This window comes from Homo sapiens, chromosome 8, assembly GCF_000001405.40.
Source record: "Homo sapiens chromosome 8, GRCh38.p14 Primary Assembly".
NCBI classification, from domain to species: domain Eukaryota; kingdom Metazoa; phylum Chordata; class Mammalia; order Primates; family Hominidae; genus Homo; species Homo sapiens.
The window spans coordinates 92,711,489-92,737,657 of record NC_000008.11 but is presented as its reverse complement, the minus strand read 5'-3'; the positions used below and the strand labels follow the sequence as shown (position 1 = coordinate 92,737,657).

At 35.5% G+C, this 26,169-nt stretch overlaps 1 long non-coding RNA gene across 1 annotated transcript in view; it reads left to right on the top strand.

The window, feature by feature from the left end:
- FLJ46284 (uncharacterized LOC441369) overlaps window positions 1–24,696 on the top strand; it is a 73,099-nt gene extending 48,403 nt beyond the window's left edge. The window contains exons 2-3 of the long non-coding RNA NR_046114.1: window positions 19,140–19,259; window positions 21,536–24,696. This is a non-coding gene — a long non-coding RNA (uncharacterized LOC441369). The remainder of the gene's footprint in view (window positions 1–19,139; window positions 19,260–21,535) is intronic.
- The last annotated feature ends 1,473 nt before the right edge of the window (window positions 24,697–26,169 follow it).

Genomic DNA, 26,169 nt, shown 5'->3' with positions numbered 1-26,169 from the left:
TGTTAGACAGTAATGGTGATCATGAATGCAAAATATTCCTTTTCCCATAATATCATTTTATTAGTACTTTCCTATAAATTATAAAAGCTCCATAATATTCTATTGAATTAATTAATTATCTTTCTGTTGTTGGACAATTGTTTATATATTTTACTTTCAGTTTAAAGTAGCACTGCATTGAAAACTTTATTCATAAAAATGTTTATGTATTTCAGATGGATAAAATACATAGTTTACCCAACTGCTTTTCAAAAGCCTGTACTCATGCGTTCCTACCACCAATAAACAAGAAATTCTAAACAACATTCTTCAGGTCACTAAGGATGAACAGCTATGCCACATATTTTTCTCATTCTGAGTCTTGGATAATCTTTAAATCTTACATTTTTGAGATTTAATATCATTTCAGAAACCTCTGAGATGGTTTATACTCCCCACATATGGATCAAATAATTAGAAGGCCAAAAGAACTTGGGACACACCTTCAAGCAAAACCAAGTACTTGGAGTTTTTTTCATTCATTCATTCATTCATTCATTCACATTTTATGCATTTGTTAAGCATCAAATATGTGCCAAGAATTTGCACTAGGTCATTAAGGTACAAAGTTAAGTTCAACATGGTCTATTGCCATTGAAAAGTCATAGCTTGGCAATGGGATTAGAAAGGTACATGCTGTTAAGAACAAGTTGTCTTGGTAGCTCAGAGGGGGATCCAGGAAACAGTTCTGCCCAGGGCAGTTGGAGTAGCCTTCATGTAGAAAATAACAGCTGGTTTGTGCTTTTCCTACTGAACCAGATGGACCCTGGGGTTGGGTATGGTGAGTTGACTCTGGTGGGCGCAGTATCTAGTGAGAGAGATTAGCATCCATAAAGGTGAGAAGCCATAGAAGTCCATTGTGTGGTTGAAGATGAGTGCCAACATCATGTGGCTGGGGTGTATGGCTGACCTGTCCTTGAAATGAATTGGGAGAAAGGAGGCAAGCCTCACATTGTCTGAAAGGTTTACTGAAGGTTATTGAAAACACAACCTTACTTTTTCTTTATAGTACATTTTCTAGGATTTTCCTTTATAAAACTGAAATGAAGTATTTACTTTCCACTTCTCAATTTCTTTCACATCAAAAAGATAAAAAAGTAACTTACCAATGTATTTTTTTTACTCTTCCCAACCTGTATTTTAAAGGTCTTTAAAATACTTTTATGAAATAGATAACAGTGCTCCATTTAATCTAGCCTCCAGATAATTTTAATAATATCTCTAATAAATTTTTTCTGAAGATCCAAAGTGTTAATACTAGTTAAATATTTTTAAAGTGTCAAATATCTAGTTAGAGATAGCCTGATAGAAAAGCCTTCATTTGGTTCTTATGGTTCTAATTTGACTTTAAATAATATGATAATATATTTAACTTCTGTGAATCAAAGATCCTGAAGTGTTTGTAGACTCATCCTGTCAATACTGAGTTAGAAATAGGTACAAGCAGAGCTCAAGAGTAGAGAGATGAGACTTGGCTTTGGATCACATAAATTTGTAGAATCTGTCTTCTTGAAATTTAACCATTCCATAGTGTAAATCTATCACAATATGATTAGTCTTTAAGGTTCGTTTTAGCCTTCTATACCAGTAATAAAAAAAAAATCCGCTTGCCCATAATACACAAATCAAGGAATCTAAAATCATAGATTTTCTAACGCCTTAGTACTTCTTCAAGGTTAGCTATGAATTAATCTTACAGTGCACGAAGTATAGCATGTGCATTTCAGCTACCATATAAGCAGGCATTAAACATAAGACCCTAGCTGCTCATCTCCTTGATTTAACAACTGAAGAATCTGAGCACAGGTTTAGTAAAGTGAACATCTATTCCTCCTTAAGTCATTTCCCATTGTTATATGAAATAGAGTAATTCCAATTATTGCTTTGGGGGGAAGCACTAGAAAAGCCTAGGAAGACTTGTGTACCAAAAATAAAATCATCAGACTTAATGGAGAAAACATATTGTGACTATCACGTATGGTGACTATTGGCTTCAAATTCTGTTACCCCAAAAGAGAGAAATTGAAGAGAATTACCATCTTTTGTGTTTCTGTTTTGCCTTGACTGGTTCCATGTGATTTTCTTATTCTGTATTATTTTTAGCTGACAGTTAATAATGTAGATTCCCTAGCTAGGAGAATTCAAATTTAATCTAAGAAGGACAGGCTTTAAAATAAACAAGTTATCTAAACATCTGCTTGGTAAAGAAAGGGTTTCTCTATGGGACAGTTTCTGGATCCTTTGGTTCGGAATTTAATTTATTTTTAAACAAACACATTGAATTTCTGTAGTGGAAATTTGCCATTAAGTTTCTTAAATCAGTTACAGTTTAAGCCATTGATTCATGAATCATTCAAAGTAGGAAGCCAGAGTTACCAATGTATGACAGCAAGTGCTGGATTCTCAGAGGAAATGGAACTGTGGCTTGTTTATCTTGGAGAGTATTCTTGTCATAATTTTTACTATGCACATATATTTTGTGGGCAATTTTGTCTGTTTTTCCTATTCTCAGGTAGAATAAACCAAAAAAGAAAAAAAAGATATTGCTCCCTAGTCCTGGTAAAGTTATTAAAGGATTAAAATTTCCTCCATTTAGAGGTGCAGACACCCTTTCCTATGGTATAGGGTACTGAGGGAATATATGATGTGCTCTGTGTGCAGGAAGGGAAGAAAAGCATTCACCATAATTTTACACCAGCACCCATTCAGTCCTCCAAACCAGCAAGCTCTTTTCCAGTTAGCTAAGAAAGTGACTGGCCTCACTCACTCAAATAAAATGCTGCTGAGTGTAGCAATGCCAGAGCTGAGCAACTGGACCTGGCACTGGTGCAGAGATCCGGCTCCAAAATGGAAGCCTTTGGAGTAGAGCCAGGATGCACAGAGCAAATGATGCCTCAACCCTCCACTCCAGTGAAAGAGATTAAAGAAAACCCACAAGCTCTGAAACTGATAACAGCTATCTCTGGATGATATCATACTAAATCTGAAAGTCTGGTTTTCATTATAGTTAAAACCAGAAGGACCACTCATAGAATAATTTGGAAAGGGTGAGAGGAGACTTTGGAAAGTTATTTGAATCACTTTGTGTTCATGAAACTCTGGATTTCTTCCCACACTTGAGTGGGAGAATGCCTAAATGAAGGCGAAAATGACTGTTTTCTCATTTGAAAAAATAAGAGTGTGAAACAGATTCCAGTATGAGAAAGGATTAAAGGAATGTATAAAAACTATTAGGTAACAAAACACACTGGCTTAATTGTCTCAGGAGCAAGGTTCAAATGCCATTTGGGCATTAGGTTGGATATTGAATCTTTTGGAGTCTGTGAAATAGAGATACTCTTAATGTCTTCATAAGAACATTAGAGGTCTAAGTGACATAATGTGGGTGACTATAATTTATGAAGTGTTATTTGAAATGTCATTATCAAGTGCAACCCTCAAGTCATAACACATGTGTGCAAATTGCTCATATAGACACTGGCCTCAAATCTGCCATTTAATGTTTAGGGAAATTCATCAAATAACATACAAATTTCTTGAGTTCTCCTTCATCTTTCTTATATGTATTTTGTTTGTGCCAAATTAGACACTAGCTGTCTATTCCTTTAAACCTTTGGGAAGACTTTCCAAAAACTTCAATATTCAATAAATGTCTATTAAGTGCAAGACTCTATGCTAGGTGCTTGAAATTTTTATAAATTACTTTAAAATTGCTCATATTCTCTTGAAAATTAATTTTTTGTATCTCTTGGGGGGATGCATTTTTAAAGGTTGCTATGAATTCACTTAATTTTTTCTTCCTTTTTTTGAAATAATCCATTGAAGAATAACCTAAAAAAGAAAAACAAGAGACAAGATTCCATTACAATCATACCACTTGACTGGAAATTTTTAAAAAAATGATTTTCAAGATTAATGCTGCAAGTGTTTTGTACTTTGGGGACCTAATTTATAAATGTATTATCTACTTTGTTTCTGTATTTACTTATATAGATAGATCAATACAAAATTTACTTATTGAAAGCTGTGTTTGGTTCCAACAAGACTTAAGTCGTATGTGGATTTTTCTTCATCACTAGATGTATTTTTATTTTCAAAAAGGTTTTCCACTCAAAACACAGATGCTTCACAATACTTACATGGGGGCAATGCTGCTTTTCAGTTTTCAAGAAACCATTTCCACTTTTCTCTTACTCCAAGTTTTCTGATCACCAAGAATTTTCCCAATCAGTTGAAATAAGGAGTAGTAGTCACAGGAATTTAAGAACAACTGAAAATCTCTACAAGTGTTCATAATCTGGGGACGAATGACAAACATTTCACCTTAACTCCACTTAATATATTTGAGTTCTTTGACAGATCCCCTTAAGGAAACATGGTGATACCACTGTGTATCTGTTACTATTACATTTCCAAGAATGATTAGATTTTTCTTTTGTTGGTCCACTTAGAAAACAGTGTGACTTTGTAATAATTAGAGCAAGTAATTCCGGAAACAGCAAAGCAGTGAGTATCAGTGTGGCTCTATAGTCAGAGACGTGAGTGTGAGTACTGGCTCCAACATGCTAGTTGTGGAATTTGAAAAGTTTATGAGCCACCTGTGTCTTGGTTTTCTCATTTGTAAAATGCAAACAGTTATACTACCCTCCTCATAGGTATTTTTAAGGACTAAGGGAGCACATGTAAACTCATAGAAGGGTTATGGCTAGTAAGCACTCAATAAATATTAGACATTATTATTATCATTAATTGAGACCAAGCTTCTCAGATAATCCAATTCTGCTATTGATCCTCTCTCACACTGGTAATTGATTACACTGTATTATTAAAACAGGTTTTGAAACCTGTGTGTATTAATCTATCAAGAATGTAATATGTTGCCACTTTTCTTTCTCAAAGTGATTAGAAAATTCCTGCATTACATCATGACCAACAGCAATATGCGTGCCTATTACAAAGAAGTAAATATCAACAAGGAGATATATCCTACAAATATATCCTTTAGCTGTGATTTTTTTCTAAAGGTGTAGAAAAGAAAAGCAAGATGAAGAAAGCAGACTGCTTACTTGACTGACTCAGATAAAGCTTGTGGACCTGGAGTGAAAGCCTTTTCAAATCGTTGAGCTGGGCTTCATCTCCTAGACATTATCCTCAATACAGTGGTTTCTGTTCCTGAGGATTTGTACTAAGTAAGCTTACTCACACCTACTGCTACTGAGATCATTCTTCGAGAGCATGGTTTCTCAACTTTGCCACTCCTGTGTGGTCTGGATTATTCTTTGTTGCAGCTGTGGTCCTGTGCATTGTAGGATGTTCAGCAGCATCTCTACCCACTAGATGCCAGCAGTACCTCCCTCAGGTTGTGAAAAACAAAAATGTTTCCATGGATGTGCAGATGTTCCTTGGATGGCAAAACACCCTGAGTTGAGAACAACTGCCCTAGAACACCTTGATTGGGACATAAGCACATTCCACCCATGAGTTTTTCTGCTTAATGCTCTGATTCACATTATATTTCATTAGAACAAGCCAACATTAAATCAATAAGCCTTTTCATTCCCCAATCTCCTATCTGGCCCTCCTTTAATTCAGGCACTCATTCGTTACTCTTTATGCACGCACACACACTCACATACACACACACTCATATGTATGTATTATTGAGTGCCTCCAATATGTTAGTTCAGGCCCTTGTCAATCTTGCTTGCACTTACTGTAGCATTTCCTAATTGGTTTCTCTGTCTTTACCAGCCCCCTAACCAAACCCTGGAATGATGTCTACTTTCACGTTGTTCAAAGGATATCTCTAAAGCCCAAACCCGATCTTATCTCTACTTTCTAAAGAATGTTTCAATAGTTTCTTACTGCCCTCTGGATGAAGTCCAAACACTTAAACCTAGCACACAAACATTCGTACTCCTTAATAATAATAAATACATATCTCTAAATGTACATAATTGCCTAAACTTCTATGCTTTTGCATGTCTACCAGCAATGCTCTTTAACTTTGTAACCATTTGAATTAATTTTTATTGTTTCTTCAACAGTCCACTCGGTTATCCTTTGCTCGCAAAAGTCTTCTTCACACCCTTGGGTAACATCAGAATATTTCCCTATTCTATTGATCATAGGAAGTTTATTATAGTACTTGCCAGTCTGTTGTGATTGTTTAGGTCTTTCTCTTTCTGATGGAATGTGAGTTCTGCTAAGGTATAAGTGAAACTTACCCACCTTTGTAGTCCCATTATCAAACAGGACTGGCTCAGAGTTAGTGTGTAAAATAAAATACAAATTAATTGAACTGAATTTTAAAAAGAAATGAGGATATTCGCTTGACTGTTTCTTCCTATCTCATTATCCTGTTTGTTTATTTCATATCACTTACCCTTATGATGAGTCACATCTTGTTTTTATTTATCTGTTTATTCACTCATTTATTGTCTGCTTCCATCCTTTCCTACTATGAAGATGTAAGTTATATGAGAACAAGAAACATCTTCTGTTTTTTAAATGCTGTTTACCAGCACCTACGAAGGTGCTGTAAAGATACTAAGAACTCAAAAACAAGTTGCTGAATGGATAAACGCAAGAGGTAGGCTGAAAAGCAGAAGCTAGTTAATGAAACCAAGGATGAGTGGTCGCAGATGTAGGGAAAGAAGTGAGAGAATATATTTAAATATAAGAAATAAAATATTTTATCAATGTGTTATGTTTTACTTGAAAAATAAATGCACATAGTTTGGGGAATTATACAAGAACAATAAAGCCAAACCTAGAAGGAAGAAAAAGAAAGGGCTTCCAGTTTTTTCCTGCCACCTATAGGAAACAGACTGGCAGCTGCTGTTACAAGTAAAAAGAAAAATTGTCATGCACAAGGTTCATGTTCTCATGATTGATGGACATTTCCTTTTGAAAATATGCCTATTTATAATCACAAATAAAATTCCTGTTTGTCTCATGAACAACAGACCTTGAGTCTTATGGATTTGCCTCCTAAGAGTTAAATAACCTACTAATGCCACTTGACAGTCAGGATAAAGCTACTGTTCTACGGTGATAGATAATCCTCCACATGGGGTGGTGGGACTGGAGGAGCAACAAGAGAGACAGGGGAGAGGAGACATCCATCTTGCTAAGCAATTTATGAATTGAACCTTAAATCCTTAATGTACTAGATGGTGAGTCAGTGTGCTAATGCAGAGTTGATTGGATTTAGTTTAAAATGCTAAGTTAAAATGTGCAGGTGTCTTGAGCAGGTGCACAGTATTCTGCTAATAAACAGAAGACATTAAACCTGAGGCAAGGCTTATTTTGCTGCATTATAGAAATTTCACAGACCTATAGAAAGTACATGAAATATTGCATGAGAGAGGGCTATTCATTCAGTATCTCTTCAAACCCAGTAAATCAAGAAAACAATGTGCTAGTTCAAATTTGTGCCATGAGGTTTTTCTTTTTTAAACATTTAAAATGAAATATAATGATAATTCCCTCTCTATTAGAGTATCATTGTATTTACATAAGTGGGTCTGAAAAATGCTGTGCTTTCTTGCAACCTCAAAAAATATATAGATGTACGGAAATCATATCATGCTCTATTTTTTCTGAAACACTTAACGCTCACAGTTGGAGTCCCAGTGTCATAATGAAAAATTGCTGTTAATTTTCAGCTTATGGATGTGAAGAGCTGGGAGCTCCGGCTGCACTGGGAATTAGCTGGTGCAAGCTACAGAGATCCATTATTTAGGGTGCGGCAAGATTTAAAATAGCCTTGACATTCCAGAAAAAGGATTGACTGGCAAAGGAGTGTAGTACTTTGGGAGTGGTGACTTTCTCTGGGAAATAATTCCATATGACAGAGGTATTTGAATAACTCTGGCATATTTTTCATCTAGCTCCAAATAGGTTTGAATAAGATGTCATTTAAGAACTTTTTCATGTAAAATATTTTAGTTTGGATGTCTACCCCTTATGTTGTTTATTAAAATATCACTATAGGAGTAACAGCAAGTTTCATTATGTACCGTTCATTGTGGAGCTAATTCATTCCCATGTATTGGGCACTATACCTTAAATAAATATACTGTATATTGTTATAGACTAACTTCTTTGGTTTCTATGGTGCATATTAGAATCTAGTGTGGATGCCTTATGTTGGATGTTAATATGTGTTACATTTATCTACTATATTTTTGGGAAGATGGAATGTATGAAGATGAATTCACAATATAGAAGTGAGATTCCTGTTTGCTGATAAAGATCTCCTCTGAACTCTTAGGTTTGTCTATGAACTACAGCTTGGAAAACAGTTTCAGCTGCAGTCTAATTAAGGTTTATAAGCAAGGTTTATAATGTCTTCTACTTTCTGCTTTCAAGGTTGAAACAATACTTAATCTTTTCTTATCCTCCTGACCTAGCCTGTACATAAAAGACAACCTAATGTCTGCTCACTAAATCAAGCAACTTGTCCCCCATTTCCCAATGAAACACAAAACACATGCCAGATTCTAAACTTTAGTAAATATTATTTAACACCTTACATTTTTTCACACCTTAAAATAATCCCGTCTAATCAGTGCCATAGTAAAATTGCCTATAGAAACAGAGTGAAAATGACTTTCTTCCATTTGTCATTGTTGATACTGAACCCAGAGATGGTCTTGTCCTCAATTTGCACAGCAGTACCTCTGTCTTTCCACCATGGCCCATTTTATTTATTTATTTATTGTATTTCCAAGATATTTGCTAATATGTCAACTGGCAGCCTATTTTTACATTAGAGCCTTGCCTGCCTATTTATTTGACTAGGAGATCTAATCAATCATACAGGTGATTGATGTATAAGTGGATATTTGGAGGTTTCAAATAAAGATACTTTTTAATTGTGATCAGAATCACATTGTCTTAATCCATAAACCTCAAGATGTTTTGGTAAGGAGGGGAATTAGCCTTAAAACCCAAACTCACTCTTTTAGGATTATTACTAATCATAAATGATCTTTGAAAATTGTATTTTGGTTAATCCATTATGCCAAAGTAGGATTCTTATAATTTTCTCTCTAAATTTCTGAATAGTTTTTTCACCACACTGAATAAATCTAGACTTAAGAGGTACTAACTGATTGCCAAATTCCTGTCTTATTTATAAGGCTTGATAATTATTTGGGCAAATAATTGGGGCTTTAAGTAACCATCTTAGATCTGGGACTGGAAGAGTGGGAGGGAAGCTATTTCTTTCATCTAACCTGAGTTCTTATGCTTAATCTTAGAACTATTGTGACTTGATTCACTGAGGGTGAATGAGGAAAGAGGGAGCATTCTGTATTAAAGATCTTGATTGTGACGGACTTGGAATCTGTTAAATATATCAGAAGGTGTTGAGTTCATAATTTCATATTTTTTTTGTATGTGTCCTTTGAGTTCCTTTGATGTTTTTATTCATGCAGCACATCTTAGTGATTTAATGCAGGATTAGCCCACAGTGATTTTACACTAAAAGAATTACTGTCTTGTGGAAAACCTGCTGTTCTTAACTCTATTTATTGTTTCGTCAATAGAAAAAGGTCTAGTAAACTAGTAGCTTTTCTGCTTTACTGTTCACTCTGTACTTTTAAGAACTAAACTTGCTCTAAAGAGCATAATTCAAAGGTCTTTGTTCAATAGTTTTTTATCTTTTTGCTGATAGTCCTGCAACAGGTCATCCAGGTTCAGAATCACTAAGGATGCTTAAATGCAATATTTGATCAGCGATCATTTGAGAGAGTGCATACTGCATTTCAGTATCCAAAACCAGAATTTGTGGTCTTTGCTGAGGAATCAGTAGTCATCTACATAAGTTTGTAGCTAAATCTTCAGTGTTTACATCCCACGTATAACCTTACTTTGGAACATAATCATTTTTTTAACATGCACATAAGTTGAGATCAACCTTACCTAGCTTGGTATTATTCTAATACAGTGGTTCTTAAACTTAACGGGCATCAGAATCGCCTGGAGGACTTACAAAACCCAGATTGCAGGGCCTCCTTCTGGAGTTCTGTCTCAGTAGATCTAAAGTGGTAAGTTGGTATTTCTAGCAAGTTCACAGGTGACGGGGATGATGCTTCTATTCCAGGACTGCCCTCTGGGGACTTCTGTTCAGCATTATCCTAGTGGAAAACATTAAAATGATGTGAAGAGTTAATGCAGCAATCTAAAGTGTTTCCTCTGTAGACAATTTGTTGATAATTCCAAGAGAAGATTCGGTCTCCTTTCCCAGTAGGTTTAGAGCCAGCAGTTACACTTGGCTTTGCAAGTTTTTCTTTGCTTGTCTATTTTCTTTATTTGACTTCAATCCTTAATGTCCAGAACTGTGTTTGGTTCACCATAGTAACCTCAAGATGCATTGAATTTCAACAGAGCATAATGTATGTATCATGGACTTACAGGTATATTAGAGGATTATAAACGAGGGCAAATTTTTCTCTTATACTTTGCTTAGACAACATTCACCATTTGTTATTGTCATTTGAATGCTAAAATGATCCTCAAAAGTATGATATGGAGCCAGAAAAGTAAAAGGAAAATGCTAAAACCAATCAGATGTCACTTAATATCTTAAAAGACCCAAGGAAATTTTTAAAAGTTAAACTGCAATATGAAGGAAGTTAGCTAAAATTTTAAAATGATTTACCAACTCCTTAAGTGAAATGAAGAATTTAGTGAACTGTAACTTTACTGTGGACACAAAAGCAGAGACCATTTCATCTGTTGCTCTGTCTGCCTCTCCCAGTTTTGTGGACAATGTCCCCAGACGTCTGCAGTTCTGGCTTTACACGGGCCATAATCTCTGGTTGATGCGCAACTCCAGCTGACTGAGAAGGCAATTCTAAGAACTTGCCTAGAAAGGGAAACTCAAATTATTTGAAATTGTGTAATTAGTTTCCTGAGAGGATTTTTTAACCCTAAAAAAATATAGAGTTAAATGGAGAAATGATGAACCAAATCAAACTTATTTCATTAACTTGTGTTTTTAGTGGAAAGTTGAGACTTTGATGCATCAGACTGTACTGTAATATTTAAGATAAATTACGATTTACCATACCCACAAACTTAACATGTATTCCTACAAATGTTATTTGATTACTCAGCAAATTTTATGTAATCAGGAAAGGTAAAATACAAAAGAAATGAAAATCTAAATTTATAAAGGCAGCTCAAAACGTTTAAATAAGATGAATAACTCATGTTTTAAGAGCCCTCTTAATAGTAATGTTAAAATACAATAAAATTTTATGTAAATTGAAATCAGATCAAGAAAGAACTAGGTTTATGAGTTTATATCTTTAAAAATTTAGTGTTAATTTTTAAAACAAAAGTAATTAGTGAGTAATGATTTTGTGTCTAAAAGCCACCGATTAAGAACATGAATACCTCAGCCTTCCAGAAGGACAGACATTTATGGTTGTATAGGTTTGGCTGCATGTAGTAACCTATTATATAAATTGGCTGAGCCGACCACAGAAAGGTTTTGAGGAACACATAACTTTTGGCCATTGGAGAACCAACAGAATGGGAGTCAGAGTCTAATTATAATGATAAAATATTGCTTCAAAACACTGGCATCAAGTTCATGCTTTTTACTGTCCAGATATTGGACAGAATTACATATGTTAAAAAGGCTTGGGTAACTTGTCCACACTTGCCAATAATTAACCCCTTGCTTAATTATTTTTTAAAAAATGATGTAGTCATGGAAGGACAGGTCTATGATGAGAATGGCCCCTAGACAACAAGTACCCATTCTTTAAAAACATCTTTTGTTATATTGTGACACTCTCAAATACATTCTTATTTTCTGCCTCATCAAATCTAGAACAATGTGACTCATTTTCAGAATCTTTAAGAATCCGTCTCAAACATGAATATACTGTCTTAATTTTCTCCATACTCCATGAAATATCATCAGGAGACTTCTGTGAACTTTCTCACTTTTCCAAGGGCACATTTATTCCCTCATCTTTGTTTTTGCTTCTGTTATTCTCTATTTAACTTAGAATTTCCCATCCTTAGATTTGTCTATTGTAATTTCTCTGAGTTCCTAGGTCTTCTAGGAAAACTTTCCTAATTTCCTGACTCTCACTAAATTATTCCTTCTCTGTGACATTCTAGACCATTTATCCCTGTGCCACACAGTTTAGTATTGCTGTGCATTGTGTAAATATTATACCACCACTATATAGACTGTGGTGGTATAATATCTACCAAAGATGTTTATTAATCCCTGTAATCCTTTTGTTTACCCCACCCCAACATATTCTCTCTGTCTCTCTCTTTCTCTCTCTTCCTCTCTCAAACTAGACCTTGGACTCTAGCACTATATAGAGGTGAGGTGCATCCAAATGCAAAGGAAAACAAATGAAGTTTATTGTTGTCTTTTGAAGACACAAAGCCCATATTGTTGTGTAAGTCATGGATTTGGGGAAAAATTCTTTTATAATCAGTTTTATCTTTCCTATGCCATAGAGGGAAGACAGAAATAAAACTAAAAGCTAATTCTCTCTGGACTTGGAAAGGAAGGAGTATCAGAGAAGCAGAGAAGAGAAAAAAGCTTAGAAAGCAGGAAAGAAGCTGAAAGGTAGTCTCTTGGGCCTTGGTGCCATAACCAAGGGGACCATGTGGGTACCAATGAGTGGAGGCTTTCAAAAGGCAGTCAAGTCCCCAGAATCCAAATGGGAGGGATGGTCACACCCAAGGATCTCAATGCACCCCAAACCACAATCTCTCTGTTTCTTACTCTGTAATGCTGTATAAAACAGTTGCTTAATATAAAATAATCTTAAAGAAAAGTACCATAAAGTATTGCAAATTAAAAAATATCATAAAGAGGATCTAATACCTAGGGAGGAAAGGTTTAGAAAAGAAGGAAGAATCCTTAAGTGACTTAAAAAAAAATGAGAAAATCTGGAGTTGACTACATTAAGATTTTGTCCAGGAAGAAAAGACACAGATTAGATTGCACTACAGGAAATACACATATTCCATATCATTGCACACCTGAGAATGGATTGAAAAGTATGTTCTCTGTAATAGTATCTTGAGTAACTCGATTTATGATGACAAACATCCCACAAACCTTGTCACCCTATTTTTTTTTTCTTTTCTAAGTGTCATCCAGATATTTCTGGAACTTTCTATCATGCTTCAGTCCTTGTTGCTGGGTGTAGTCCCTCTGCTTCTTCCATTCCACCTGCCTTGTCAGGTAGCTCTCTCTGTAGCTAGTGACACTCCTGCTGCACATAGTTACACTTTGCTGCTGACAGTGGCTGTGGGGCTCAGGATATTATCCTCTCCCAGACCTGATTAGGTCTGTCGCTAATTCACCCATAATACTACTGCCTTTACAAGACTTTATTGAACGTTTGAGCTTCGTGGAAGAAAATACAGAGCTCACAGTGTCTTTGGTCTTTGGTTCTATTTTTTTGTCATTCTCTTGCCTCTAATCTTCTCTATATGTTCTCCATACTCTCAAAATGGCTCCTCTCATCACAAGATGTCTGCCAGCAGATTCCAGAGACATGCACTTCCTGGTTCACATCCAAGGATAGATAGATATCTTCTCTTTCTCTGCCAAACAGAAATCCTGTGCTTCTCTATAATTAGAGCAATTTGAATGAAATGCCCTCCCCTGAACCAGACCATACAACTAGAAAAATAGTATGACTGATTGGTTTAGGCCTAGCTCACAAGCCCATTTCTGAACCAATAATTTTGGCAAAAGAAGACCACTCTTAGAGTTTAGGCCAATTAAGACTCTCTCTGAGAGCTAAGCAGGTATTAGATCTATTTCATCCATAAGGTTGCTACACATCAAGAGAGAATAAAATGGAAGACAACCACAATTGTCCCACACTTGCCCTGGAATCTTGTAATGGTCTCTGCCCTGCCTAGCTCCCTTGCTAGACCCAGACAAACCTCCACATGCCCAAGGGCAGTCACTTCATGATGTTGGTGTCACCACCAGAACAATAGCAGTTTATTCTTTATATAAAGTTTAAGCTAAGCTTTACTGCTGACTCCCTCTCCCAGAGAAAGCAAAGATGTTTTAAAATCCCAATATAAGGCCATTTTTTCCAAAATTTTCATTTGAATTTACATGGATGAGACATCTATTCCTTTCAGAGGACATTTTATACTCATTCACAGGTTGATCTTGCTCTTTAGGTCTATGTATAAGATAAGCTCAGAAAATATTTCTGGTTTATTCGGTTGTAGTCAATATATTACTTGTAATAAGGTTTAAAAAGTATAGAGAAGACATACTTACCTACTTGTTTCATTTGTATCCAAATAGATTTTAGGCTTGTTTAGAGCAATGCCTTCATCTTACAGTTTTTTGGATTTTATCAGGCAATTTCATGTGGTTCATCCTAATACATTTCTTTGTATTTGCAAGCATTTGGAAGACATCGTGAACTCTTTGAAGGCAGAAACTAAATGAAATTCACCTTCATATTTACAGGGACCAGCACAGCCTCTAGAACAGAATGGGTGCTCAAATCAATATTTCTTTAAAAGAATAAATGAATGAATAAATAAATGAATGCAAGTGGAAGATAATTATTGATGACATTTTTTTAAACAATAAATAAATTGATGTATCTTGTATATCAAAAAGTGTACAAATTTTACTCTAGTTTGTGAGATAGTCCCATTTCTGCCACTAAGAAATTATTATTATTTTTTATTTCAACTGTTATTTTATGTTCGGGGGTACATGGGCAAGTTTGTTACATGGTTAAATTGCGTGTCACTGGAGTTTGGTGTACAAATGATTCTGTTACTTAATTAGTGAGCATGTTACCCAATAGGTAGTTTTTTGACCTTCACTCTCCTCCTAGCCTCCCTCCTCAAGTAGGTCCCTGTATTTGCTCTTTCCCTTTTTGCGTCCATGTGTATTTAATGTTTAGCTCCCATTTTTAAGTAAGAACATGCAATATTTGGTTTTCTGATCCTCAGGTGGTTGGCTTACGATAATGACCTCCAGCTGCATCAATGTTGCTGCAAAGGACATAATTTAATTTTTTAATGGCTACATTGTATTCCATGGTATATATGTATCACATTTTCTTTATCCAGTTCACAATTGATGGACATCTAGGTTGAGTTCATGATTTTGCTATTGTGAACAGTGCTACAATGAACATATGCATGCATGCCCATGTATCTTTATGGTAGAATGATTTATATTCCTTTGGGTATATATCCAGTAATGGGATAGCTGGGTCAAATGGTAGTCCTGTTTTTTAAGTTCTTTGAAAAGCCTTCAAGCTGATTTCGACAGTGGCTGAACAAATTTACCTTCCCACTAGAAGTGTATAAGCATTCTCTTTTCTTCACAACCTTGCCAACATCAGTTATATTTTGATTTGTTTATAATAGCCATTCAAACTGGTATAAGATGGTATCTCACAGTGGTTTTGATTTACATTTCTCTAATGAGTTAGTGGTGTTGAGCATTTTTCTTGTTTGTTGGCCACGTGTGTGTCTTTTTTTGAGAAGTGTCTGTTCATGTCCTTTGTCCATTTTTAAATGGGGTGGTTTTTTGCTTGTTGATTTGTCTAAATTCCTTATAGATTCTGAATACTAGACCTTTGTCAGATGCATAGTTTGTGAATATTTTCTCCCATTCTGTAGGTTGTCTGTTTATTCTGTTGATGATGTTTATTTTACTGTGCAGAAGCTCTTTAATTTAATTAGGTGCCATTTGTCTATTTTGTTTTTGTTGCAGTTGCTTTTGGATATTTCATCATGAAATATTTGCCAAGGCCTATGTCTAGAATGGTATTTCTTAGGTTTTCTTCTAGGATTTTAATAGTTTTAGGTCATACATTTAAGTCTTTAAATCATTTTGAGTTGGCTTTTGTACATGGTGAAAGGAAGAGGTCCATGTTCAATCTTCTGCATATGGCTAACCAGTAATTCCAAAACTATTTTATTAAATAGAGAGTCCTTTTTCCATTCCTTGCTATTGTCAACTTTGTCAAAGATCAGATGGTTGTAAATATGAAGCTTTTTTCCTGGGTTCTCTAACCTAGTCCATTGGTCTATGTGTTTGTTTTTGTACCAGTACCATGCCATTTTGGTTACTGTAGCCTTGTAGTATAATCTGAAGCCAGATAGTGTGATGACTCCAGCTTTGTTCTTTTTGCTTAGAATTGCTTTGGTGATTTGAGCCCTTTTAGTGGTTTCATATGAATTTTAGAATAGTTGTTTTCTAATTCAGTGAAAAATGTCATTAGCAGTTTGATAGGAAAAGCATTGAATCTGTAAATTGCTTTGGGTAGTGTGGCCATTTTAACATATTGATTTTTTTCTGTCAATGAGCATGGAATGTTTTTCCATTTGTTTGTGTCATCTCTGATTTTTTTCAACACTACAACTGAGATATTATGAAAGCGATCATCATTTAGGGTTTAAATCTGCTGTGCATAAAATTTCAGGTAGTTTTTGGGTAGGTATACACACACATAACTCTGGCTCATTTAGCACATGTTTATTTTTAAATATATATATATCCTATATACTTTTTCTATATATTAAAAAATCGTAGAGTATTTCTTCTTTGAATGGATCAAAAACATTTGGATAAATCATTTTATGAACAAGGGTTGCAATATCCTGTTTCTATCACCTGGTAGGCACAATCATTGTCTTTGTTCTTCCTATATATTAGCCACTCCCAATTATTGCTCTGTATTAGATGTACAAGTAAATCAGTGTTATTTTCTAGGAAACAGTTGTCTTTACTGAAATTAGAAATTAGAACTTGCATTCTGCCAAATGAAAAGTGGATTTATTGCTGTTGTTTTTTTTTTAGCACACACACCCTCCTCCAAGCTAAAACACTGATATAAAATTTCATAATGATTGCTGAATAGTTTGAAAGTTGTTTTCTTTATGGATCTCAACTTGTCATAAGAAATGAGTCATCTATTATAATATCTAGAATACTGAACTATTAAGCATCCATGCAGATAATTACTGGCAAAATGTATTATTCAAAAATTTTAAAATAAAAGTACCTTAGGTTCACATTTTTGAAATGCTTTGAAATTTACAAAAGTCATATACATATATTATTTCCTTCAAACAACACAACAAACATAAGTATATGTTATTGTCTTTAATTTATTAAAGAGGATAAAAATTAACTCATTATGTGACTTGCCATGACCCTGTTAATTCCACGAGAACTCTTACTATTATCAGGGCCGGGAACACTGGCATATGGTAAGTGGACAACTAATAAATATTTGCCAAAATAAATTATTAAATATCATACAGCCAGAATCAGAAGTCTAACTCAAACCTCCTAAATTTAATATATTTCTCTACCACATCAGACTAACTTTATTATTTTTCCCTTGTTTAACTTTAAGAGAGGCACATATCCAAATAATGTTGCTTAAGATTAATTGTCACTGTAGCTCACCTGCCATTTGAGCACAGAGCTGAAATGTTGACATTGCACAAATTAAAGTCCATTCAATTAAACAGTATTGAGTGTCTATGATATAGGGACAATGTACTAAAAATTGAAAATGTAAAGATAAGTGAGACATCTGTATTCTCAAGATAATTGTAAACTAATAAATGGGAGAGACAATGTAAGTGCAATTTGAATGGTTAAGTACTGTGATCAAAGTGTGGTAGCTAAAAAGAGAAATTTGGACATCTATGCTAAGACTGAAATGATTAACAGTGGTGTAGTAATCAAGATGTGCTAGAGTATGCTGCAATAACAAAAAGCACAAAAACCTCAAAACGAACTTTATTTCTTGCTCCTGCTACATGACCAACATATGTGAGTTCTGGGTTCTTCACTGGGTTCTAGGTTCTTCCTTGATTTCACTTCAGGATCTAAGCTGATGGATCACCCCCAGTTTTGAACATTATTGGTTGGCTAGAGGGTAGGGTGGGTAGAGGGATCTGGAAGTTTTCCCATTAGCCATTGAACATCATTTCTACTTATGAATCATTCATCAGAAATAGTCACATGGACACACCTAAGCAGAAGAGGGCCAGAATGTACAACCCTATCATGTACAAGGAAGGCAGAGAACTATTTCACCAACCATGCTAATGACTACTACAAAGACTAAAATAGGAATCAGTACATTCTAAGTAGTGTTTAATGCAGTGAAGCACATGTTCTAATCTTGCATATGGCTCAAATATTTAAATTAGAGATACTTCTAAAACATGCCTCTTGCTTTAGCCCTTTAAATTATACCCTCTCATTCATGGTATATCGAAAATAGAAAAAATTCACAAGCTCTAAATGCATATAGATGCCTGCATATGGGAATTGAGGAAACTAGAGATCCCTAATCAGGCACTTCCCCTGCCAGAACCACTGTGTTTACAGTGCCAGCTTTTCTTAGCTGAAAGTCCTTCTTACCCACTACACTAAAGAACTTCAGTTGGCTTTCTGTTCCAAAGCAGCAATAAATAAACAGTATAGCCCTGTTATTATTTAGAGCTTCCAGTTCTTACAGCCGGAAAGTTACAGCCAGTAGGCGGGCAATCTCCAGGAAAGTAAGTAAACAAAGTTTGGAGAGCAATAATACCATAGTTCCTACAGAAGTAAGAGAACCTATGCATGAGGAAGAGCTGTGATCATGGCACAGAGTGAAGGCCATGTGTCCTCCTGTGACAGACACTGTTGTAGGAAGACAATTAATACATTTTTGCTGATAATGATCAGAGGGAGAGGAGCCTGTGGAGTTTGCGTATGAGCCCGTGGCTCTCCTAACTGTGGAATCTGTATTCCAAGCCACAGTAAATGTCAGATATTTTTATTGAATGATAATGCTGTCCAACACAATATGGATCTAACTGTGGTTGATTTCTCTTTGTTTTATTTTTCAAGCACTTAATAAATTGCTTCATTTTTGAAAATGCTTTGGACTACTAAAGAAATAAAAATTAAATCCAAAACCAGAAACAAAAACTCATACATAATAGATTTATTCATTATAAAGATGGTTAGATATATGTAAGTCAGAGAAAGAATTCTACTAATTTTTTTTCTTTCACCTAAAAATCTACTCTTCTAGATGGAGATGGTCAAGGGGTTACCGCCAGTCTGTTTCTTGCGCTGATAATTTTTCTAGACATTAAATCTCACCATTTGTTCCCAACAAAGAAAGAAAGACAGGACCACCAGACTCTACAGGGTACGTGGACTCTGCTTATTTTAATTTCCTATAATACATAAGTGCACAAGACTCTGACAGCGTTAAACTCTGCAGTCTCCAGCATGTTGATTTTGCTACTCTATATATTTAATTTTCTTTTAAAAATGTATCGTATTTCTCTGAGCATTCATTTGCTTTTCAAATTATGGCTGCCTAGCTGATGCTTGTGTACCAGGTGCCATGTAAAAGCATGTTAAAAGTAGATAAAAGCAATTTACCCTGCCCTCTAATTAGAGATGTCTCATCTTTACCACTGACAATAGCAGTATGCAGCTGTGGCAGTGGAGAGATAATGGGAGCTGGAGTGGGGAGAAATTGAAGATATGCTGGCTGAGGCAGAGTGTCACCTCTCCATTGCTCAGCTTGGGCGGGCTTCAGAATGAAGACAGATTTTTAGTATTTCTTCTTTCCTAGCTCTGTTCATTTATTTTACATTAATAATTGAGCTTTTTTTATTAAAGGGAGTATGTGGGGGTGGGGAAGCAGATTATAGGGGGAAAGACTGTGGGATTTTCTTAATGACTCATTATATGGAATTTATTGTTGCCTAATTCTATAGCTCCTCTACCAATTAACATTTGTTGGGTGCACATCACTACACTTAATATCATAAGGTTTAAAATGTGTGGAGAAAACACACTACTTGCCCATGGAGTTTGCAATTTAGAAGGGTTCTTCTTCATAGAGAGAATATTTGGAATGTTATAATCATGCTCAGAGAAAAGATAAACCTAAAACGTGGTGATCTTGGATTATACATGTTCAGACTAGGATGTTTAGAATGAGTAAATGTTGAGAATAGCTTTGGTAAAACAGTCATCCTGAGTGAGGGACACAGAAGGAACCATCATTCCAGGGAATGTACCATGACTGGAGGTAGTAGGTAGCAGCATATGTAAGAATTGTTGAGGCCAGTTCTACTGAAGGGGAAGAGCCATCCACAAAGGAACTTAAGTGTTGAGACTACACTAAAATGGCAATGTAAATTTAATACAATCATATGAGCTGATTTGGTTTAACTTGCATCTGAGAAAACATACACTGGAGAATATATGTTGATTGTATTGGAGGAGAGGTAAGTGTATATAAAGAAAAATTTAATTAGCAGTTTCTGAATGCTGATTAGTATGAGAAATTATGCTACGAATGAGAGCATATAGAAACTAAAATGTGTAATAATTTGGTGTGATCTAGAGTGGTTGCTGTAGAAATGGAGACGAAGAAAGATTCAACTTAAGTGATGTGGTAGGTAGTTAAAGAACTAGCCTATAAGACTTGATGAATTTGAAAAAATAAAGGTATCAAAATAAATTTATCAGGCAAGAATAGGGGCAAAAAAGAAATAAGTACAATATACGATAAACATTTGTACAAGAAAATAATGATTTCATTGCTTCACATGTTAAGTAGCATCAATAGGGGGTTGAAATATAAGATTGAAAAGATGTTAAGCAATCAAGGCTGGAGTGTAGATTTAGGAATTGTTTGACTAGTGGTAGTAGTTGGAGCATAACAAACTGACGATTTCTTTAGGAGTAAGAATAAAAGTACAAAACATTTTATAGAATGAAATTTCAGGAAGTGGGAAAAATATGTGGAATGATGAAAAACAAGAACTTGAAATCAAGTAGGGGGTAACTACCAGTGCCAAATGCTGAAGAAACTCCAGTGGAGGAGAGCTTCAAGAAGAAAAGTGTTTCCATGAAGAAAAGGAGAAAAGATTTGCTTAGAAGTAGAACATTGGTGAATCCCTTCAGCAGAGTGGTAGCAATGGAAGCCAAGTTGAGAGGATTAAGGAAGGACAAGACGGTAAAGAGAAGTGGCAGCAGAATGCTCAATCATTAAATGCAAGGGAAAAATAGACTGATAGTAGAAGGAAGTGTTAGTATCATCAACTTAGTAATTTAAATAAAGCTTAGGGAAATCTGAACATTTACATTTTTAGCAGGAATTAACCATACAAGAGTGAAATGCTAGAGGGTGGAATAAAAGTGAAATATATATGTGTGTATATTTCATGTATATGTTTGTATAACCTTGGGAAATACACATCTAGTCTGGGGAGAAAAGCCTGTTCGTTCAGATATGGCATCAGAATGATCTTAGAAAAGATAATTTTATTTTGTTTCTCAAAATAACATATGGATTTATATTGGTTCTGCTGTGATATCCCTCAGAACATTGCTAGGATGCGGTAAGAGTTTACAAAAAGAGCTGTGTTGCTCTGCATAATATGTATTTTTTCATTTCTGGAGGAAGCCAAGAGGAAGAAGGGAAGGAGCCCAGAAATGGAGAGAAGCTGGACTCTAGGGATGGATCTGGGGATGCTCCACAAAGTGCAGCTGTGGAGAATGCAGAAGAAGAGTTGGCTAGTGGGACATTCCCACTGAGGAGCATGGCAGGGGGAATGTCTAATATTCACTAAGAGAATTCTTGAAATGTAACATTTAGATGAAACTCTTCAAGTTTCCTTAAAATACAAATTCATGACTCTCTTTCTTTCTCTCTCTCTCTTTCTCTCTCTCTTTGGTATGTTAAAGTAATCAAGGAAAGGGATTTTGTTTTATAACTGGGTTACACAGGGGAGAGACCAGAATAGCTGAAAGCTGTGAGACATGAAGAAAATTCAAGATTTAGGAGACATGCAGAACATCAGTGTCTAGGCAAAATGGCAGACTGACCAACCCCCACACACTGAATCCCTAGAGATATTAGGACAGGGATATTGAGAAAAATTTACCTTTAAGTTGTAAAGGACAAGGCAACTCAACATATTGAATGCCTTGTTGACAACCAGGGGCTAATATTTGGGATGCATATTGGGCATAGATGCACAGAAAATAATTTATCAGTGACATTAATAATATGACATCTCTTTGTTGAGAATTTACTGCTGTCTTAATATCACAACTCTAAGGGGTCAACATCCAGAATAAACTTCTTATCTTACATATTTAAAATTATTTGCTAGGCTACATTTTTCTTAGAAAAATGCATATCTGAAACAGAATATTGATTTTTTTCCTGGGTCATACATAAAGACCATCAGAAATTAATTATTGAAAAAACACTGCTATACTCATTAGAGATATATTTTAATTAGATTAATTTTGCATTAACAGTCCATGAGAAGTTACAACTAACTTGCAACGAGACATTAACATGCATCATGTTTGATATAAGTAAAAATGGAAATGATTAGAAGTATACAAATATAAAGTATGTTGCTAGTATATGCAAGCTTAAAAAACTTTTACCTGATAGAATTAGCAAGAGCAGCTATGTTGAGCTTCTTTCAGTTAAAAGTCATTTTCGGCTATGTCTCCCTAAGGATAGAAATATCACTGCTTTTGATCTCATTTAGAATTCTGCTCACTTTTAGGAAAGTAGGGCTGTTTGGAAATGGTCAGCCATATCCTTACTGAATTTCCTAGGGCTTGACTGCACCTACTCTAGTTAACAAGTAAGATATAGTTATATATTGTATTATAACTTCTCAAAGCACTTATATTTTGATTTTCCTTCTTTTATGTTCATTATCTTCATTTGGACTACTCCATGTGACAAAAGCAGTTATTTTTCTTCTACCCCCTAAACTGGACCACATCGATGCTCTTAGGTCCAAATCATATTCTTTAAGAAACAAGTGTTCACTGAATGATTTACTGCATTATATAATAGGTACTATACAAGACACCTGAGGCCCCCCACACCGTGAAAACAGATGTTTCTTCCTGGAGCTTGCCCAATAGGAGAGAAATTTTTAATTTACCCTTTCTCAGTAAACCATTATACAAAACAGAAGTGAAATTATGGACCCAGTGAACTCAATCTGGCTGACTTGCAACCCCTATGTGTTCATAAACCCACTGAAATATATAATTTGTTGTTTATATTAAATATGCACTGAAGCATGATTAGATAAACATTGAAAGTAAATTTTAATTTTAACCATCAGTGGAAGTATATGGGGTGATTTAAGTCATTCATATTAGTTTATTTTTATCAGGTGTTCCTCCTTGTCCATAGTGAAATACAATACAGAGATTATAGCCTGTGGCTTGACAGGACATCTTATAGTTGGTAACAGGACTACATTAAAAGGAAAAAACAATAAATAAGGATGTCTAATTATACAGATAAAGAAAGCAAGTTCACTCACTCCTCCAGGACAGCACCAGAGACAACGTTAGAACCAAGAGTTTCAAAACCTCGCCTTGTATGGTTTGCCTGATGCCATGATTAAAGAAAAGGGGGTGGGGAACTAAGAGAGGAAGCCAAAGAGAAAGAATTCAGTACCAAACAGCAATATTCAGATGTTTTATTAAATAATAGGAGGTGTTTTGACCTTGCTGGTGAACAGAGGTGATCTCAAAACATTTGACAGATATAATTAAGGCCATAAGGCAATAATTGCAAAAGTCAAGGAGCCCTTGCCACCTCCAAAGCATCACGTGTGGATGCAGGAACCATATTAACAACATGGGTAGTCAAGGAGAAAGCAGATAGAATAAAGCTGTACCCAGCAATATAAAGGGACATGCAAGTGTGTGTTGTGCTTAAGAGTAAACTTAGGGAAAAAAGCTCCCCATAACCTCGAGAAACGTTTCTGGATCTGAGATATCCATTAGCACATTTAGAAGGTACCTATTTCCATTATTGTGAAGGAGTTGTAAATGAAATAAACAACTTTAAATAATACCTCCCTTGGTCAAACTGCATTAAGTATTCCCTGATGGAATTCATTCATCATCATTCAAACAGAATGGTTTGCAACTCAACCTGCCTAGTGTGGGGTCTGGAATTCCCACCACAGTCACTGTGCCTTAAGCACTGTTGCAGCAGAAGGACTTGAAGTAACACATGAATATATAATGCCAATTTGCATGTCAGCATGGATTGTTGAAATTGAAGTTAGTTAATTGTCACATTGTAACAGGAAAAGAATCCAAGTTTTGGAGCTGGTTGGAACTGAGTTTTCATCTTCTTTCTCTGCTACTTAACTGTGTTATCCTGAACAAGATACTCAACCTCCATGAGACACAGTGACCATGTGAAATATATATGTAAAATGTCTGGCAAACATCTGATTCATGTAGGTACCCAAAATTAGATCATTTTCATTTTCTTTTGCTTCCTTGGAAGTTCAAAACAAAATTCTGAGGTAAGTTTCAATTAAAATGGGTCAGGCAGACAGATTCCAGCAAGGTCAAAGCATCCTTTTTTCTTTAATAAAATATCTGAATATCTGAACAAGAAACAACTTCTGTTTCTCAAGGTTGAAATGATGAATTATTGAACTTCTGTTGCTGTTTGTTTTCTCTCTTATCTCCTTACTACTACATATAAATGAGATATCTTGCTATCCCACTGATATCTCAAATTCAGTATTTCCCAAATAAAACGTAATCTTTTCCAACAAAAAAGCTCTTTCTCATGAGTTCTCCATGGCTATTAATGGACCAACAGTCTTTCAGTTCTCTACCATATCCAAACGTCAGTTAAAATAGAGTCACAGTGATTGTGTTTGTGATGGTGGATGGGGCAAGGTCTAGTATTCACCATCCTCTAGGGAAAAATTGGAAACGTGTGAGACTTTTGGATTGTCATGATGGCCGGAATATGCTATTCAAATTTAGTGGATATGGACCAGAGATGCTAACATACCTGTGTTGCTAGGAACAGTCCTTCACATTAAAGAATTGGGAGCCCGAAATGTCACTGGAAGCCCCACTGGGAAATGCAAATAGAATCCGCCCTCTTCAAAAGCCTATGCTCATTTTCTACTTTCATTACTATTTCCATTCTATCAGTCCAGGCTCTGCATTACCTTGAATCATAGCATGTTATTGTTGGAGAGAACTTTAAGGTCATCCACATCATGGAGCTGAGGCCAAAATGTTAGTGAACTGGTCCAAATTATGTAACTACTTGGTTACAAAGTTTGACCTCAGATCTAACTGTTACCCTAATAGACTTGCCTAAGGTTATAATATTATCGAACTGTGCTCCACATTCAAATTCATCCTCTACAGGACAGAGCTGACCACCAAATCTTAAAGAACCACTCCCACAATATCATTTTTCTACCCAAAACAGCCCCCAGTGTTTTCCCATTGCCTAGTAAGTACACATTCCTCAGCCTGGCATCCTAGACCACCCATGATCTGGGCCAGCCAGGCCTTTTACTGGTATTCCACCCTACTCTCCTTCTGCCTTTTTTGAGTGACAAACTGTCCCCCTGGCTAACTCCCAAGCACATATTGGGCATTTATATCTTCCCTCAAGCTGTTCCCTTTGCCTAAAATATTCTCCACATTCCTTCCCTGTCAAATCTCTACTGACATTCAAATGTCTCCTCTCCATGAAACTTAAAAAAAAAAAAAAAGTCCTCAACCTGATATGTTCTTTTTCTCTTTATCACCTTTAATATTTTAAAATTGTTACTGGAATTACTATGGTTTGCTAGGCACTATAGCTATTTGAATATTTTGTTCTTTTTGAGGACAGAGACCAGCTAATATGCATAACATTAGCTATATGATACTTTGCACATATAAGGTGCACAGTAAAAAGTTTGGAGATAGACACACAAAAGATCTAGCAGCAAATCTGGGAGAAAAAAAAAATCAGAAGACAAGACAAAGCTTTCTGCTCTTAATTGTTCACCCAGGAAAAGCTTTAAAGCACTTCTCCTCACACTCCCTTCAAGACTCCTTTTAGCATTATAATGGAAATTCATTGGAAATGTGTTTCAATTTTAACAACAACAACAAAGAAACAGAAGGGAATGACATCATCCTTGTTCTTTCTGTTGCCCTTAATGAAAGTTTCATTTATCTTTGTCATCAAACCTATGCTGTCAGCAGTAAGGATGGAAGCTTCGCTA